General features: G+C 44.0%; 1 long non-coding RNA gene and 1 pseudogene across 1 annotated transcript in view; both read left to right on the top strand.

The window, feature by feature from the left end:
- Nucleotides 1-1,482: 1,482 nt before the first annotated feature.
- The window catches only part of TRIM59-IFT80 (TRIM59-IFT80 readthrough (NMD candidate)), a 258,294-nt gene continuing 240,261 nt past the window's right edge, over nt 1,483-19,515 (top strand). Inside the window, exon 1 of the long non-coding RNA NR_148403.1 lies at nt 1,483-1,871. This is a non-coding gene — a long non-coding RNA (TRIM59-IFT80 readthrough (NMD candidate)). The remainder of the gene's footprint in view (nt 1,872-19,515) is intronic.
- Nucleotides 14,814-14,882, top strand: RNU7-136P (RNA, U7 small nuclear 136 pseudogene; annotated as a pseudogene).

The following is a 19,515-nucleotide window of genomic DNA, read 5'->3' as shown; positions in this document are numbered from 1 at the left end:
CACCTGTAATCTCAGCACTTTGTGGGGCCAAGGTGGTTGGATTACTTGAGGCCAAGAGCTCAAGATAAGCCTGGCCAACATGGCGAAACCCTGTCTCTACTAAAAACACAAAAATTAGCCAGGCGTGGTGGTGTGTGCCTGTAATCCCAGCTACTGGGGAGGCTGAGGCACAAGAATAGCTTGAACCAGTGAGCCAAGATCATGCCACTGCACTCCAGCCTGGGCAACAGAGCGAAACTCTGTCTCAAAAAAAAAAAAAAGACTGGAACTAACCATCAATAATGTGCTGGTTAAATCAACCAACATCAATATAGTGAACAATTTTACACCTATTTTTAAAATAAGACTTTTTATGTCTTGATACAGAAAAATCTCCAAAATACTATTAAAAGATTGAAAAAGCAAAATATATAGCAATGTAGTATGTTAGCATTTGTATTAAAAATATATTTTTGTTTGAATGTTCTTAAAACATCTCTGGAAGAATATACACATAAATTATAAACATTGTATTCTCTATGGAGAGGACGGGGTTGGACGGAGACTTTTATCACATGATGTTTTAAAAACTGAATTTTGAACCACATGAATAATAAAAATAAAACACATAACTTTTTACATAAATAAGAGTGCTTTTTGCTGCCACAAGGTGGCAGTGTTAAAGTCTTTATAAAAGAAGAGTATTTTGAAATTTGCCTCAAGACAAATTTTTGTATTGGGCCTGTAATTTTCAAGGATCTAACTGAAAATAGGTAAAATGTATTTTCATATAAGATAGTATATTTTAGGAGTCATGTAAATATGTTTTATTTCTGTAGTTTTGTAATCACAGTATATTTTATTTTGGCTTTGCTTTAATTAAAGCACTACAGGACCATGGTAAGAAAAAGATAATACAAAAGCATTTTTGGCCAGACACGGTGTCTCACACCTGTAATCCCAGCACTTTGGGAGGAGGACCAGATTGATTATTCCAGGTAGCTAGTGCGAGCTTTCTCTGTTGCTGGATCGTCAGTTTCTTTACCCAAGAAACTTCCCCTTAGACTGAGAAAACAGAGAATTCTGCATGCTTGGCCAGTGCATGTTAACTGCAGACTTTGCTTTAAAGTGTGTGGACCTGACGCTGAGCATCAGACTGGAAGCCTCAAATGTCAGAATAAAAGAGGGAGGAAGCCTCAGTTCCCCCTAACCAGACCATTTTCTTTTGGTAAGAGCCCACTTGTTTCTTTTTCCTTTCGCTTTTTTGCCCTCAGGATTAAATATGGATTGTTTTTACAGTAATGCACATATGAGAAGGGAGGGGAGTTAAAGAGGCCAGATGTTAACTTTCAGTATATTATGTTGAGATCCCTTTTTTTTTTTTTTTTTTTTTTTTGAGACGGAGTCTCGCTCTGTCGCCCAGGCTGGAGTGCAGTGGCGCGATTTGGGCTCACTGCAAGCTCCGCCTCCCGGGTTCAAGCGATTCTCCTGCCTCAGCCTCGTGAGTAGCTGGGGTTACAGGCGCCCGCTACCACACCCGGCTAATTTTTGTATTTTTAGTAGAGACGAGGTTTCACCATGTTGGTCAGGCTGGTCTGAAACTCCTGAAGAGATCCGCCCACCTCGGCCTCTCAAAGTGCTGGGATTACAGGCGTGAGCTACCGCGCCCGGCCCGAGACCCCTTTCTTGTCTCTGCATAGCGCCCACCCCTGGCCTAGAGCCTCTTCAGCTTTCCATCACTAAGCTAAGCTCTCACCTCTACTTTAGCCTCTTCCTTACTTAGACTTGTGTTATGGGCTTCCTCCACTCTGATTAACCCATCCACATGCTCCGATCTTCTCATCTTCCTGAAGTCATTTGATACCTCTCATCTAATGGTTCAGCCTTCACTGGTAAGTAAGCGTTTATGCCTTTTTGCTCTTCTATGTAGTTATATTTATTTCATCAGGTTCTCCTGAGAGAATAGAGAAAACACAAATGTTCCATCACCATACTGGACTGGAATCCTCTGGAGATAACTCTTAGTTCTGCTCTTCTCTTCACTCAGATCTTTGTCCCTCAGATGTGTGTGTTTGTGTTTATTACAGTTGTTGGTCTTCTGATGACAACAGTAATATATATTCATTGTATATAATTTGGAAATACAGAGTAATAAAAAAGTCTATAATCCACCAAACAATTACTGTTACCATTATAGTATATTTATTTTCAGCCTTTCAATATGCATATGGTGCATTTTTAAAAACAAACGACATTATTTATACTATGTATGATTTTGTATACAGTTCTTTTTACTAATATTGTGAATAATTTCCCAAGTCACAAAAATGGTCTTTTTCAACATGGTTTTTAAGGCTACATAGTATTTCATTATCTGAAATGACCATTATCTGAATTACCTCTTATTCTCCTGTTGGACATTTTGCTTGGTCTCAGTTTTATTTGTTTTTTAGTTTGTTATTATAGAACACTTCTATTATACCTGGGCTCTCTTGTGTGCTTGTGATATCTGTCTTAATTGCAATTCAGAAATGGACTTTGGGCCAGGCACAGTGGCTCACATCTGTAATCCCAGCACTTTAGGAGGCTGAGGCAGGCGGATCACTTGAGCCCAGGAGTTCAAGACCAGCCTGGGCACCATTGAGAAACCCTGTCTGTACAAAAAATACAAAAAAAGCCATGCGTGGTGGCATGTGCCTGTAATTCCAGCTACTCAGGAGGCTGAGGTGGGAGAATCACCTGAGCCAGGGAAGTCAAGGCTGCAGTGAGCAGTGATTATGCCACTGCACTCTAGCCTCAGCAACAGGGGTGAGACTGTCTCAATTTTAAAAACTAAAAAATATTTTTTTAAAAATATGCTCTTTGATTTAAGCTGCAAAGGAATTTATTGAAAAGAAAGCTAGTAGCTCGCAAAATCATGCACAAGTTCAGGTAAGGGCTTTTCTTTTCTTATTCATCAAAAAGAATATTTCTTCTACTATCCATCATCCCAAGCACTGTGAGAGGTTCACTTTTCACACCTGAATGGAGTCCATAGCATTTCTACTAGCTATTCTGTTCTCATTCCATACCAGTCCTTCCCTTTCCTCATTCTTTCTGATCAGGCCTGTTTATAACATTTGTTGGGGATCGGGCAAAAGTACAAATATGGGTCAATGTTACTTATATCTAAATATTTTAATCATACAAATTAACCTAAAAACTTGAAAGAGAAGATGTGTGCTATCTTCCTACCTTGACAAATATACTTCATAAATAACCTGGAAGGGGGAGTTCTAATTTTGAATTATTGTTCTGTGCCTAAATGTAGTGGGGCAGGAAGAGCCAGCCCTTGGCCCTCTGCCTCAGGCCCGTGGCCCACCTAGTTTCTTTTCTACCTTTTACTCATTCCTTTGCCTGCTGTGGATGCCAGCATAAGAGGCCTTATACAGGCATTAGAAGTGGACTCAGGGTGTTTGGCCAGAATTCTGGGGGTCCTAGTACACAGAGTGTGGTCTAGAAGAGAGGGGGTGAGTGCAGGCCCTGGTAGGCATTTCCTGACGGACTCCTCACTCTGTTGGACTGTGGCCAGAGAAGGGTCAGAGCGGGGCCTTCTAAGAAGGGGGTCCGGGCAGGGCTATCTCCACTTCTCCCTGAAGCCTCCCTTGTCTCTTACAGTTCATATGACCTCACCCTTGTCTTTCATGTTCCCAGAGCATTCACCATTAATATCACTCATTTGAGCATATTAGTCATATATTCACTGTATTGTTACTTAGCAATTTCCTAAGGATATGGGCAGCTTTCTGGCATCCCAGGAAGAGAGGACTGGGTTCATATCTTATAAATGTCAAATATTTCATTATCACAATTGATACTTTATGAATACTTGATAAATTGAATGGCATCAAAATAATGTAATAGCAGACTAAACCAAGATTAGTAACTTTGTTCTCAAATTAAAGCCTTATTGGATATTTGCAATGTGACCATCTAGTTAGTTTGCATTACTATAAAGGAATACCTGAGGCTGAGTAATTTATAAGAAAAGAGGTTTATTTGGCTCACGGTTTTGCACACTGTACAAGAGCATGGCGCCAGCATCTGCTTCTGGTAAAGCTTCAGCCTGCTTCCCTCAGTGGAAGGTGAAGGGGAGCTGGCCACACCGAGATCATATGGCAGGAGAGGAAGGAAGAGAGAGGTGGAACAGTTGCCAGGCTCTTTTAACAATCAGCTCTCAGGGAAACTCCTGCAGGAACTAATAGAGCAAGACTCACTCATTACTGCGAGGAGGCACCAAACCATCTAGGAGGGATCCACCCCCACAACCCAGATGCCTCCTGTTACATTAAAGATCAGATTTCAACATGAGGTTTGGAGGGTCAAATATCCAAACTATAGCAATGACCATATATGTTTTTGCCATAATTGTGGGATTATGTTTTTTGGTTATGCAAAACAAAAAATAAAAAAATCCAGTAAAAGCATTTTTTAATGGAACTAGCATTGTAATAAAAAAATTGTTATATATCTACTGTATAGCTCAAAATGTATGGCCAGGTGCAGTGGCTGTCACCTGCAATCCCAGCACTTTGGTGGGAGGATTGTTTGAACCCAGGAGTCCAAGACCAGCCTAGGCAACATAAGCCAGTCCTCATCTCTAATAAAAATTAAGGAAAAAAAATTGGCCAGGCATGGTGGCACACACCTGTAGTCCCAGCTACTCCAGAGGCTAAGGCAGGAGGATCACTTCAGCCCAGGAAGGTGAGGCTGAAGTCAGCCATCATCGTGCCACTGCACTCCAGCCCAGGTGACAGAACAAGGCCCTTTGATAAAATAATAATAATGATAACTATTACATGGAAAAAAATTAAGTAAGCTAATACACTATAGAATTATTGCCTTCAACACAGAACATGCTGATAAAAAAGTTTCAACATAGTACACAATTTATAAAATAATCAGTTAATCAGGCCACAAATATTTCTTGAGGCTTCTATTTACTGAGTGCTGTGCTAGGCCCTAGGCCCTAAGAGTATTTAGTAGTAAATAAAATAAGACAAAGTTCCTCCTCTCATGGATCTTATATTACAGCTGATTGTAACAAAGGACTACAGATGAATTTATCATTGGGCATTACAGCTGCAACTGTAAGTCCAGGCCAAAGAGTGTGCAAGGGTGAGAGGAAGAGCTCAAGGTCTGCATAGGGTCATTGTTTACTGGCAGTTGCAGTCCTTCCTTCCTGCTGTTCTGAATTTGCCATAAATGTCAAGCGGATAATGTGAAGGGTAGCGCCACCTCAGGACCTGCTCACCTCTCTCATGTTCCAACTTATTCCCGTAGACCTTTCATTGCAACTGCAGCTCTTATTTTCCGGTTACTATTTAGATCGTTCTATCAAGGCCTGCGGTGTCTTGGGTTTGATTTTGAAGATGGTTATTAAGGCTCCTAAACATTCTTCCCTTGCAGTTTGCCTAAAGGATGTTTAGGGAAAGATAGAGTCTCTTGGCTTGGCTTCTCTAAATGATCTTTATTTTTCCTGCTTTCCCCTAAATCTTTCTATTTTTTTTTTTAGATGGAGTCTCACTCTGTCACCCAGGCTGGAATGCATTGGTGCAGTCTCGGCTCACTGCAACCCCTGCCTCCCGGGTTCCTGCGAAGCTCCTGCCTCAGCCTCCTGAGTAGCTGGAACTACGGGTGCCTGCCACCATGCCCAGCTAATTTTTGTAGTTTTAGTAGAGACAGGGTTTTGCCATGTTGGCCAGGCTGATCTTGAACTCCTGACCTCAGCTCCCCTAAATCTTTCAAGTAGAAACAGAAAAGAAATAGGAAGGGGGAATAGGCACCCACCTCAGCTCCCCTAAATCTTTCAAGTAGAAACAGAAAAGAAATAGGAAGGGGGAATAGGCACAACTTTCTTCAGGCTCCTGGAAAGCACCATCTCTCAGGCTGCCCTACACAACAGGAGAGCTGCCATATCAATGTAGTGACATGGTTCAACAGAAGGAGGTCTTCATATTTCGCTTCCCTGACACACCCACAGCTCCCCAGCATTGCCAACACTGAATTAGTAGCAGCACATCTACCCTGAGACTCAGTGAGGTAGAGCAAGGTGACTCACCCGCACTCAGAGGCTGAGCGGAGACCAAGTCTCAAAGACTGGAGAGAGAAGATATTGCAGAGACTCAGGGGCCTGCCACCAGGAGTCAGAGGAAAGCCAGCCAGCCAGGGGAACATCACTGGGAGCATTGCCCAAGGTGAGAGAGCCCAACCTCCATTTACGTTCACATCAGCCTCAGACTTCAGCCTTGAATACCAGCAGCACACGGAGAAATTAAGTGAACAGTGGGTTGGCCAGGGGTGGCGGCTCACGCCTGTAATCTCAGCACTTTGGGAGGGTGTGGTGGGTGGATCACTTGAGGTTAGGAGTTCGAGACCAGCCTGGCCAACATGGTGAAATCCCATCTCTACTAAAAATACAAAAAATTAGCCCTGTGTGGTGGCAGACGCCTGTAATCCCAGCTACTCGGGAGGCTGAGGCAAGAGAATCACTTGAACCTGGGAGGCGGAGGTTCCAGTGAGCCAAGATCACGTCACTGCACTCCAGCCTGGGTGACAGAATGAGACTCTGTCTCAAAAAAATAAATAAATAAAATAAAATAAACAATATTTCAACACTCTTGAATTGAAGACAAAATTCTTATAGAGTGTTATAAGTAGTAGGAAAAAAGTGGGGAGGAGGCGGTGGGAGATCCTCAAATAAAGTATGGATTGTCCACCAAATCTCTGTACTTGCAGACACTTAAACTCTGGTTCCCTTCTTAGACCTCAGTGTGGTGGAAAGAACATGGGCCTCTGTCTTCAGCAGGCCTGAGTTTGAATCCTACCTCCATATATTATTTATCCTAGCTAATTTGTTAGATGAGAACAACAACTTAATCCGTCTGAGCCTCAGTTTCTCTATCTGAGGAAAATACATGCGTTCTGTGCCATGGGAGGATTAAATGAGGTAGTAAATACCTGCAGAGTGCTAAGCATATTTTCTGGAACATAAAGAGGCAAAGGAAAAAGAAGAGAAGGAGATTTAGAAGAGAAAAAGGAGAAAAGAAAAATGTACAGACGGCTACCAACAATGACCATGGTTAGTCATCTCACAAAATCCCTCCTAGCAAGTTCTGTCTTCTTTATGTCTCAAATATTATTGCTAAACTTCGCTTCTATTTATTTGCCATTTGACTTCCCTTCTTAAAGCTGCCTGCCCCCTTTTGAACAGCAGAGGCCTTAATGTTTGGGGAAATTGGGTGAGGAAGAAAATCATTCTGCATATAGAGTTGCTGAAAAATACTGCCATATAGTTTAAACTTTTAACATTTGTTTTTTTGAGACGGAGTTTTGCTCTTCCTCCCCAGGCTGGAGTACAATGGCATGATGTCGGCTCACCACAACCTCGGCCTCCTAGGTTCAAGCGATTCTCCTGCGTCAGCCTCCCAGGTAGCTGGGATTACAGGCATGCACCACCACGCCCGGCTAATTTTCTATTTTTAGTAGACATGGGGTTTCTCCATGTTGGTCAGGCTGGTCTCAAACTCCTGACCTCAAGCGATCTGCCTGCCTCGGCCTCCCAAGTTGCTGGGATTACAGCCACCATGCCCGGCCGAAACTTTCAACATTTTTTAGCAGCTTAAAACAACATCTGTTTATCTCCGCGTTTTTGTGGGCAAGAGTCTAGGCATGGTTTAGCTGGGTTCTCTGCTTCAGAGTCTCTGTTTCAGGCTGCCACCAGGGTGAAGGCTGAATGTTATTCTTAAAGTTTGACTGAGCAAGTGTCCACTTTGAGGTCCGCTCGGATTGTTGGCAGCCTTCACTCCCTTGAAGCTGTAGGCTCCCAGCTCCTATAAACTCTCTGCACGTCCTTGCCATGTTGGTCCCTCCACAGGCAGTTCACAGCATGGGTATTTGCTTCTTCAAAGCCAGCAGGAGACTGAGAACAAGACTGCTGGCAAAAGGAAGTTTTATAAAACATGTGATTACAGGAGTGACATCCCATCACCTTTGCCATAATGTATTGGTTACAAGCAAGTCACAGGTCCCACTCACACTCAGGTGAGGGGACTATACAAGGGGGTGAACATTAGAAGGTAGGGAATATATGGGTCACTAGATAGTTCAACTTTTTAAATTGTTTTCACAGATAATTTTTTCATCCCTTATGGATTTTTCAAGAATTGGTTTTTAAATTGTGCATTAAGGATGGTGGTTTGGGCCAGGCATGGTGGCTCACACCTGTAATCCCAGCACTTTGGGAGGCCAAGGTGGGCGGATCACTTGAGGTCAGGAGTTCGAGACCAGACTGGCCAACATGGTGAAACCCCATCTCTACTAAAAATACAAAAATTAGCTCGGCATGGTGGCATACGCCTGTAAACCCAGCTACTCGGGAGGCTGAAGCAGGAAAATCACTTGAATCTGGGAGATGGAGGTTGCACAGTGAGCTGAGATTGCACCACTGCACTCCAGCCTGGGCAACAGAGCAAGACTCTGTCTTAAAAAAAAAAAAAAAATGGTGATTTGGCTTAAACCCTTTGTGAAATGAAACAGAATGTCAATATAAATAAAAAGAATCGTGCCCCACAACAGCACTGAGTCTATTTCCAGGCAGCCGGTGACCAGGGCTGAGAACTTGCCCCAGACCACGAGCCTCTCTGTTGAGAAAGCAAGCTGACTCAGTTTTTCAGCGTCTCAAGGAGCCTGCAGCAGTAATCCAGTTTCTTCAAAGGGTCTGTGGATTCTCTCAGCTTTCCTGTTATGTTCCTGCGGTAGTTCTTGCAGCAAAAGTTCATGATATGAGTCTCCACATGCTGCTTTATCCATCTGAGCAGGAGCTGCAAGCTAGTCCTGCCTCCTATCTGCCATCTTTATCCCTAAACTCTCATCAGTTTTCTTGTCCTGTAAAAGATCAACAAACAGAGAATTGTATTTACCTGTGATAAAATGCAAAAACTAAGACTGCTTCATCTCCAATAACACCTTCACCTCCAACTCTGCACCAAGGTTTGCCACAGAATAGTGACTGTTCAAATAGGTTGTTTGCTGTGTGACAGCAAGAAGAACCTGAGACCTTAAAAGAACTCTCCAAATACCTGAAGATGGACTTTCACACAAACCAAAGGAATTTAAAAATCTATGTCTTCCCCTCCCAATTTTCCAAAAACCTCAGGGCCTGCCCTACTTAAAAGGATGTGGTCAGCTGACTGCTACCTCAAGCCAGAAAAGCAATCATGTCTAATCAGTCCAGACAGCCACTGCTGCCTCTGTGTCTCACTGGCATTCAGGGTCATTTTTCAAGGCTGGGCCTCCATGACCACCCGCAGTTACTGTTGTCCGCTGGGAGATAACGCTCCACAGACCCAGGTGAGGCATCAGACTGAAATGAAGCTTCGAGGCTGGATACTCCCAGCCTTAGTGCTAGACTAAGCGAAGGAAGGCTCTCACTTGGGGTTAACTCCCAGGGGGCCAGCCCAGGGGCTTCATCTCTGTGAGTCCCTGGCAGGTCACTCCTTACCTTGGGACCTCTGTGTCATGATTGGTTCTGGCATTCACTCCCGGAGGACCAAAACTGTCCCTGTCCCTCTTGGGTTGCTCGGCTTTTCATTTTTAACTCTTGAAACCCAGAAGACTGATCATCCCACTTCCCAGAAAACAGAGCTCTGGGTCCATCCTCCTGTGGGAAGCTACCTTTGGAAGGCAGTGCCTGCAGTCATATATTGACTGAGATAACCCTAGTATCTCTTGCTCTAAAGCCAAAAGAAAAGTCACTTTCTTTCCAGGGGCACACATTGCAAAATGAGAAGCTGCCAAAGCAGGAACTCATTTTAACTTTCACTCCTCTCTCTCATCTACTTTTCTCTCTATCCTTCCTCATTCTCACCACACCCAGTAAGTGACAAGTTTCTAAAATTTCTCAGGCCATCAAATCTCAATGCCAGAATGCTAATTGATTGGGTGCATTAGAAAGAAGCAACTGTGAATGAAGGTAAAATATGACAATAAGAAATATATACCTACAAATGTAAAGGACTACAGAAATAAAAACAGTCATTAGTCTATAGATTTAGGTTATTTATTTATTTATTTTGAGACAGAGTTTTGCTCTTGTTGCCCAGGCTGGAGTGCAATGGCACGATCTTGGTTCACTTCAACCTCTGCCTGCCGGGTTCAAGCGATTCTCCTGCCTCAGGCTCCAGAGTAGCTGGGATAACAGCCACCATGCCCAGCTAATTTTTTGTATTTTTAGTAGAGATGGGATTTCACCATGTTGGTCAGGCTAGTCTCGAACTCCTGACTTCAGGTGATCCATCCACCTAGGTCTCCCAAAGTGCTGGGATTACAGCGTGAGCCACTGCACCCGGCAGATTATTTTATTTTATTTCATTATTTTATTTATTTATTTATTTATTTTTTGAAGTAGGTTCTTACTCTGTCACCCAGACTGGAGTATAGTGGCATGATCATGGCTCACTGCAGCCTTGACCTCCCAGGTTTAGATGATTCTCCCACCTCAGCCTTCCAGGTAGCTGGGACTACAGGCACATGCCACTGCACCGAGTTAATTTTTCGTATTTATTGTAGAGACAGGGTTTCGTCCTGTTGCCCAGTCTTGAACTCCTGGGCTCAAGCAATGAACCCACCTTGGCCTCCCAAAATGCTGGGATTACAGGCGTGAGCCAACACACCTGCCCTAGATTTAGATTATGAGAAGGGCTAGATGTATGTGTGTATGTGGTTACTATGATGATAGTTTCCCTCAAACTAAAGAACAAATATATACATGAAAAAGAATACTATAGCATAGGCTTCACTTTGCCCACACTGGACACAATAACTCAATGGTTCAGCATTTGATGGCTAACATTATTTTGATGAGCAGCTATTAGCAAGGCCTTTCAACTGTAAAATTTCTACCTGGCAGAAACCTTAGTAGGAGCAATCAGTTTGGTTTGAGGCTTGGTTTTAATCCTAAACACATCAACAGAATTTCAAGATCAAGGGTCCTTAACAGTGACTGAGTTTCTTAGGTTCTTTTCCATGGGAAGATTGACATTTCTCTTTCTTCTTGAGTTGGATCATTTATTAGCATCATTTTCATTTAGCGTTACTACCCAGTATAAAGTGTAGCACTAATATATAACTCATTTTCCTCATGATGACTAAAGCTTTTTGTCTGATGACTATGGCCTGGGAAGATCAGGACATTCTTTCTTTTTTTTTTTGATGAAGTTTTGCTCTTGTCGCTGAGGCTGGAGTGCAGTGGCACAATCTTGGCTCACTGCAACCTCTGCCTCCTGGGTTCAAGTGATTCTCCTGTCTCAGTCTCCTAAGTATCTGGGATTACAGGCACTCGCCACCACACTGGGCTAATTTTTGTATTTTTAGTGGAGACAGGGTTTTACCATGTTGGCCAGGCTGGTCTCGAACTCCTGACCTCAGGTGATCCACCGGCCTTGGCTTCCCAAAGTGCTGGGATTACAGGCATGAGCCACCACCCCCGGCCAATCAGGACAGTCTTGAAAGGACTTATTGAAGAGCCTGCCTCAGACCTTGTGTTACCTACCTCTTCACCTCCTTCACATGGACCTTATTTCATAGTTAGTCTCGAAACAAACAGTGAATCTGTTCTTTCCTGGAATCAAATGAATAGGGTGGAGGTAGGAGGAGAAGAGGATCACAGCAGGAAGAGAGGAGGCACAGGGACTTTGAAACCCGTCCTCCTCCACGGTCAAGTGCCTTACCTCCTCCTACCAAGTGCAGGGGAGAGGGGGGAATTCAAGGTTTGCTGCCTTCCCTAAATGTAGAATTTTTTAAAGTATTATTTTAAAAATACTGTTTACATTTAGTTACTTCCCTATTTTTGCTGATGCAGACATTTTTATACAGACATTTTTAGCAAATGTCTTTTAAAAAAGTGAAGAATTTTATAACTGCAGAATTTCTATGATCCAAAGAGCCAGGGGTGCACAGGCCTTTGCATCAGGAAGGGGAATTCAGAGATGGATCCTCTCATTTGATGGGTGAGAAGACTGAGGCCCAGACAGAGGTATCCACAGTGGTTTAGCAGGTTAGTGGCAGAACAGGGATCCAGGCTTCTCTCTCCTGGCTTACTGATTTATCACAAAAGGTGATTCATTCATTCACTCGTTCTTCAAAAAGTGTTTGGATTCTCACTATGTGCCAGGTGCAATTCTGGGCACAGCCCCTGCCTTTGGTGGATTTCCATGTTTGTTAGAAGATGCTGAGTGCAGCCTCAGGGTAGGTACAGGGTGATGTGGGAGGGTGAGGAAGTCTAGAGACAAGAGCTCACAGGCTTCTGTGGGTAATAACAGCAAGTCGTTTTGGTGTGATTGGAACATGAGGAAGGGGGCGTGAGCAGAAGGCAAGGGGGTGAGGAGGCTAGAGAGGGAGGTGGGGTCTGATCTAAAAGGTCTAGCTGGTGGAGAGCCAAAGTGGGAGTCTGGGACCTGGTAATGTCTGTGCTTTAGAGAGAACACTTTGGCTGCAAAAGGGTGAAAAAAATCAGAGAAGAGCTTACTAGCAGGCTTTGAGCCAAGGTAATCAACCTTTTAGACTCTGAGGCAGAAGGCAGAACTGGTAGCTTCCTCCAGTGGCCTCAAGTTGTTATCCCAGTGTGCTGTACTAAAGTTGTCATTTTCTGTGTGCTGTGATGAGAAACAGATGACAAAGCACTGCCATAGAGGGGAGCAAAACCCTAGGTGAGGAGACTGGTTTGATAGGAATTCCAACTGGAAATCATATTGACCTGAACCAAGAAGTCAAGACCTGATTCTGGACTTTGTAACTTACTGGTTGTAAGTAGTGAAAGGTAAATAGAAGTAAGTAAGAGACCCCTAGTCTGGGACAACTAGAAGGGTGATGGTACCATTCACTGAAATAGGGAACATAGGTGAAGAGTTTGTGGGGAAAGACTATGAGTTAGGACATGCTAATGATAGGTACCTGGAAGACATCCAAGAAGCGATGTCCAGTAAGCATGTAAATATGTGGCTCTGAAGGGGAGGAGGAGGTCTGGGTTACAGTTATGAATCTGGGAATCTCAGCATATCTAGTAATTGAAGCCATATGGTCAGTGAGTAATGGTGGCCAAGAGAAATGTGTGGAGTAAAAGGAAAATGGGGCTCAGGAGAGGAACATCAACATGTAGGCTAGGGCCCAGGGAAGGAGTTCCAAAAGAGAAGATGGGCCAGGTAGGAAGGAGAAAGGTCAAAGGAGGTGGTGTCCTGAAAGCCAAAATTAAGAGCCTTTCTAGAAGATAGAAGTGGCTAAGTCCTTTCTAGAAGACGGGAGGTTAAGGGTATAACACTGTGGATGCTGGCTGTGTGTGGCTGTAAATAGCTCCAATCCATGGCATCCATTTGTATTCTTAATGTACATGGATGCTGTTACCTTTTTTGGGCTAAAAGAGGAAAAGATGTTGTTGCCTGGGTTTGTGGAAGAGACAGAGAAAAATGAAAGAAATCAATACCCCAAGAGGTTTTGGTAGAAGCTGTAGGGACTGGATAATGAAGGACCTTATGGGACTTTGGAACCTAAGGGATACAGGGTTGGAGAAAGAATCCTCACTGCTATGCAGTACCCAAGACTACTGTATGGCTGGACCCATAAGCACCTGCGGGCAGCATCAGGGCCAGCCTCTACTGGCTTGCAGAGGCAGTGAACTCTCTTTAGAATCTAGAATAGAAGACCAAGAGTACATGTGAGTCACCTTCTGAGGCTACAACACATCACTGGGAAAACATTGGGGTCTGAGGGTTTGCTGGTTGCAGGAATAAGGAGCAAACACAAAATGTGGTCCCATCTGTGTCTACAGCTGGTGAGATTGGGTTATTCAAGAATCTGGGTGTGGAAGAAAGCAGCATTCTTGGAAAGAGCTGCAGGAGACATGATTCCTCAGGGCAAAGCCAGCTTTCTGGAGGCAGAATAAACTTGTAGTGAAAAGGTGAAGTGTATGGGGGAGTTTGTTTGCCTGGGAAACCTTTCCAAAGGTCACAGTTGAAAGGAAAGTTTAGGAGAGAGTGGAATGGTAGAACACTGGGTGAGGAAAATAAAAAATAGAGAAATAGGGGATTGAGAGTGCATAAGAGGAGAGATGAGCAGAGATGGCAATGACCAAAGATAATCAAGACTTCTAGGATGGAAGAGAGATTGAGAGGTAGGAGCAGGAAGGCAAATTCAGATCCCATAAAGAATCAGTTGTGCTTCCAAGAGGTTCTCAGCCCAGTGAAGTTCCAGGTCTCTTTCCATTCTTGAGAAAGAGTAGCAGTCTCTGGTGGAAGGAATATCCCCTACATCCTAGGAAAATTTATTCATGACCTGGTCTGATAGTATTCCCTGCTTCTTGGGAAGATTTACTCATGACCTTCCAGGGCAGCATGGGAGTTAGGGTTTTGGTTGCTGCCATGCTTCTTCCTTTCCCGTGTCTCTTCTGCTTATCTGAGGTAATGCAAAAACTTTAAGCTGATACCTGTTGGTGTAATGGGAGTTCCTTTAATTTATATTAACTTTCCAACTACCTTAATGTTTGCTAGTCAAGTCCATGCACATCTTACCCTCGAATGCTCTTACATGTGTGTAGACCTAACTGTCCTATTAGATCCCCTGTCTATTAGATACCCAGAGGCATGACCCAGCCAGGTCACTCAAGAGTGGCTCAGCAACTCAGCAGACAGGATGTGGTCAAGGGGATGGTCAGGTCCCTGGTTCCACCTCTGTGGTCAGCAACAAGGAAGGTGTCTGATCAGAGAGAAAGAGTCAGAAAAGCAAGAAGCAAATGTATTATAATAAAATGTTACAGCTCTTTTAGAATTTATCTAGCAGGTTTTCTGGTTACTATAAGAGAAGGGGGAACCACCACGGATTTGGAATAGAGTAAGATAGGGATATATTTATTCTCTTAGTAGCTGGTGCAAAGATTCCTTTTTGGGGGAAACGTGTCTTTGTAAAATTACTTCAGAGGCAAACATGGGGAAGACTGTAAACCTTGTGTTTGGGTGCAGAAGTCCTTAAACTTTAGCATGCAGCAGAAACCCTGGGGTTGCTAAAACACAGATGTGCTGGTCAGTTCACCTTCAGAGCTTCTCACTCAGAAGACCTGAGGTAGAGCTTGAGAGTTTGCATTTCTAACACACTCCTGGGTGGTGCTAATGTTGCAGATTCAGAAACCACATTTTGAGAACTACTGACTTTCAAAAAGAAGACATTACCTGAATAAATGAAGAGAAGAATCTGGGGTTGTGGTTGTATTAGCCCATTCTCACGCTGCCATAAGGACATGCCTGAGACTGGGTAATTTATAAAGGAAAGAGGTTCAATTAACTAACAGTTCCACATGGCTGGAGAAGCCTCAGGAAACTTACGATCATGGTGGAAGGGGAAGTAAACACATTCTTCTTCATATGATGGCAGGAAGGAGAAGTGCCAAGCAAAAGGGGGAAAATCTCTTTATAAAACCATTAGATCTTGTGAGAACTCACTCACTATCATGAGAACAGCAGTATAGGGGTAACTGCCCCCGTGATTCTTATGCCCCCATGATTCAATTACCTCCCACAATGTCCCTCCCATGACACATGGGGATTTGGGGGAACTACAATTCAAGATGAGATTTGGGTGGTGACACAGCAAAACCATATCATTCTACTCCTGGCCCCTCCCAAATAGCATGTCCTCACATTTCAAAACACAATCTTGCCTTCCCAACAGTCCCCCAAAGTCTTTTTTTTATTATTTTAATTTTTGAGACAGTGGGGACTCTGCATGGGGGCTGCAACCCCACATTTCTTTTTGGCACTGCCCTAGCAGAGGTTCTCCATGAGGGCTCCACCCCTGCAGCAGACTTCTGCCTAGACATGCAGGCATTCCTATATATCCTCTGTCATCAGGCTGGAGTGCAGTGGTGTGATTTCAGCTGATTGCAACCTCCATCTCCAGGTTCAAGTAACTCTTATGCCTCAGCCTCCTGAGTAGCTGGGACTACAGGCACATAATTCAAAGTCTAAGCATATTCCAGCATTAACCCAAAAGTCCAAGTCCAAGTAAAGTCTCATCTGAGAAAAAGGCAAGTCCCTTCTGCCTAAAAGCCTCTAAAATCAAAAACAAGTTTGTTACTTCCTGGATACAATGGGGGTACAGGCATTGGGTAAATGCACCCACAGCAAATGGCAGAAATTGGCCAAAATGAAGGGGATATTGGCCTCATGCAAGTCTGAAATCCAGTGGGGCAGTCAAATCTTAAAGCTCTGAAATAATCTCCTTTGACTCCGTGTCTCACATCCAGGTAACACTGATGCAAGAGGTGGGCTCCTACAGTCTTGAGCAGCTCTGCCTCTGCAGCTTTGCAGGATACAGCCTGTCTTCTGGCTGCTTTCATGGCTGGTGTTGAGTGTCTGCAGCTTTTCCAGGTGCATGGTGCAAGCCATCAGTGGATCTACCATTCTGGGATCTGAAGGATGATGGTCCTCTTCTCACAGCTCCACTAGGCAGTGCCCAGTGGGGACTCTGTGTGGGGACTCCAACCCCACATTTCCCTTCTGCACTGCCCTAGCAGAGGTTCTCCATGAGGGCTCCAACCCTGCAGCAGACTTCTGCCTAGACATGCAGGCATTCCTATACATCCTCTGAAGTCTTGGCGGAGGTTCCCAAACCTCAGTTCTTGTCTTCTGCACACCCGCAGGCCCAACACCACATGGAAGCTGCCAAGGTATGGGGCTCGCATCCTCTGAAGCAATGGCCTGAGCTGTACATTGACTTCTTTTAGCCAAGGCTGGAGCTGAAGCAGCTGGAAGGCAGGGCACCATGTCTCGAGGCTGCACAAAGAAGGGGGCTCCTGGGCCAGCCCAGGAAACCATTTTTCCCTCCTAAGCCTCCAGGCCTGTGATGGGAGGGGCTGCCACGAGTGTCTCTGACATGCCCTGAAGACATTTTCCCCATTGCCTTGGTGATTAACATTTGGCTCCTTATTACTTATGCAAACTTCTGCAGCTGGCCTGAATTTCTCCCCAGAAAATGGGTTTTCTTTACTATTTCACCATTAGACTGCAAATTTTTCAAACTTTTATGCTCTGCTTTCTCTTGAACGCTTTGCCACTTAGAAATATTTTTCTGCCAGATGCCCTAAATCATCTCTCTCAAGTTCAAAGTTCCACGGATCTCTAGGAAACAGACAAAAAGCCACCAGTCTTTTTGCTAAAGCATAGCAAGAGTCACCTTTGCTCCAGTTCCCAGCAAGTTCCTCATCTCCATCTGAAACCACCTCAGCCTGGACTTCGTTGTCCATATCACTATCAGCATTTTGGCCAAAGCCATTCCACAAGTCTCTAGGAAATTCCAAATTTTCCCACACTTTCCTGCCTTCTTCTGAGTCCTCCAGACTGTTCCAACCTCTGCCTATTTCCCAGTTCCAACGTAGCTTCCACATTTTCTAGTGTCTTTACAGCAGCACCCCACTCTCTGCAGTACCAGTTTACCATATTAGTCTGTTCTCACAATGCTATAAGGACATTCCCAAGATGATAATTTATAAAGCAAAGAGGTTTAATTGATTCACAGTTCTGCATGGCTGGGGAGGCCTCAGAAAACTTATAATCATGGTGGAAGGGGAAGCAAACACATCTTTCTTCACATGATGGCAAGAAGAAGAAATGCCAAGCCAATGGGGGAAAAGCCCTTTATAAACCTATTAGATCTCATGAGAACTCACTCTCTATCATGAGAACAGCATAAGGGTAACCACCCCATGATTCAATTACCTCCCATCAGATCCATCCCATGACGTGGGAATTATGGGAACTGCAACTCAAGATGAGATTTGGATGGAGACACAGCAAAACCATATCAGGGGGATAGGATTCAGAAGGGAAGGAGAGAAAAGGGAGGCCATAGAGCTGGTAGCAGGCAGGCTGAATACCATGTGAGGCAATCCTCCAAACTTTGAATACAACATTCTTGGGGTGAAGAGATTTCTTGTGGGAACTGGAAATGGGTTTGAGCTTTGCATTCTGAGACGACATGAGGGTGAAACAGACATCATCCATGGGGCCAAGGAGACTTAAAATTAAATCCATGAACATTTTCAGAAATCTTAGCAGAGCACTTGAAAATTTTCCCAGATGGTGAAAATTGAGAATGGTAGGTGGTTTAAAGAAAAATCAAGGGATAAGGTGGGGTTTGTGTACCTCAGCTGACCTCTACATTGCGTGTCATCTAGGAAGAAGTATTTGTTGGAGAGAAAGAAAGGTTCTGGGAAAATTAAACATTATACAGTATACATTCCTGAGGACGCCTAATGTTCGAAATTCATCAGATGTTAGCAACACACAGAAAACCTGGGGAAGACAGATGCTCCTCAACAGGAAAGGATTCAAAAGGCTTTTTTTTTTTTTTTTTTTGAGACAGAGTCTTACTCTGTCACCAAGTCGGAGTGCAGTGGCACAATGCAATCTTGGTTCTTTGCAACCTCCACCTCCTGGGGTCAAGTGATTCTCCTGCCTCAGCCTCCCAAGTAACTGGGACTACCCGCACGTGCCACCACACCCAGCTAATTTTTTGTGTTTTTAGTAGAGATGGGATTTCACCATATTGGCCAGGATGGTCTCGATCTCTTGACCTCGTGATCTGCCTGCCTCGGCCTCCCAAAGTGCTGGGATTACAGGCATGAGCTACTGTGCTCGGCCTCAGATGGCTTTTAATAAGCCCATTTGTTCATTACTAAGTCCACATGTTCATTAAGTCCAATGAGACAAGACTATGCAAGTATCCACTAACTTCATCCATTGGTAATTGGGAGAAACAGTGAGGTTTTTACTGTAGTGTAACTTTTCCATACATACCCACTTATAAAAAATTTTAAGTACAGGAAATTTCTATACATACCACAATTTTTTTTTTTTTTGAGACAGAGTCTCGCTCTGTCACCCAGGCTGGAGTGCAGTGGCGTGATCTCAGCTCACTGCAACTTCTGTCTCCCGGGTTCAAGCGATTCTCCTGCCTCAGCCTCTCAAGTAGCTCAGATTACAGGCACGAGCCACCATGCCCAGCTAATTTCTGTATTTTTAGTAGAGACAGGGTTTCACCATGTTGCCCAGGATGGTCTCTATCTCCTGACCTCATGATCCACCTGCCTCAGCCTCCCAAAGTGCTGGGATTACAAGCGTGAGCCACCGTGCCTGGCCATACCACACTGTTAACAGTGTTGAATGGGGTAATTACATTTTTCACTTTCTTCATTTCTGTACGGATGATTTTTTTTAAACTGGGAGTTTCATTACTTTTGTAATCAAAATATTTTTAGAAAGAAGATTTTTCTTTCTTTCTTTCCTTCCTTCCTTCCTTTTTTTTTTTTTTTTTTTTTTGAGACAGGGTGTCACTCTGTCACCCATGCTAGAGTGCAGTGGAATGATCACAGCTCACTGCAGCCTTGACCTCCCTGGCTCAGGTGATTCTCCCACCTTAGCCTCCTGGGTAGCTGGGACTACAGAAATGTGCCAC

Source organism: Homo sapiens, chromosome 3 (genome assembly GCF_000001405.40).
Source record: "Homo sapiens chromosome 3, GRCh38.p14 Primary Assembly".
NCBI lineage: Eukaryota > Metazoa > Chordata > Mammalia > Primates > Hominidae > Homo > Homo sapiens.
The sequence above is the reverse complement of the archived record's forward strand: the minus strand, read 5'-3'. Positions and strand labels throughout refer to the sequence as shown.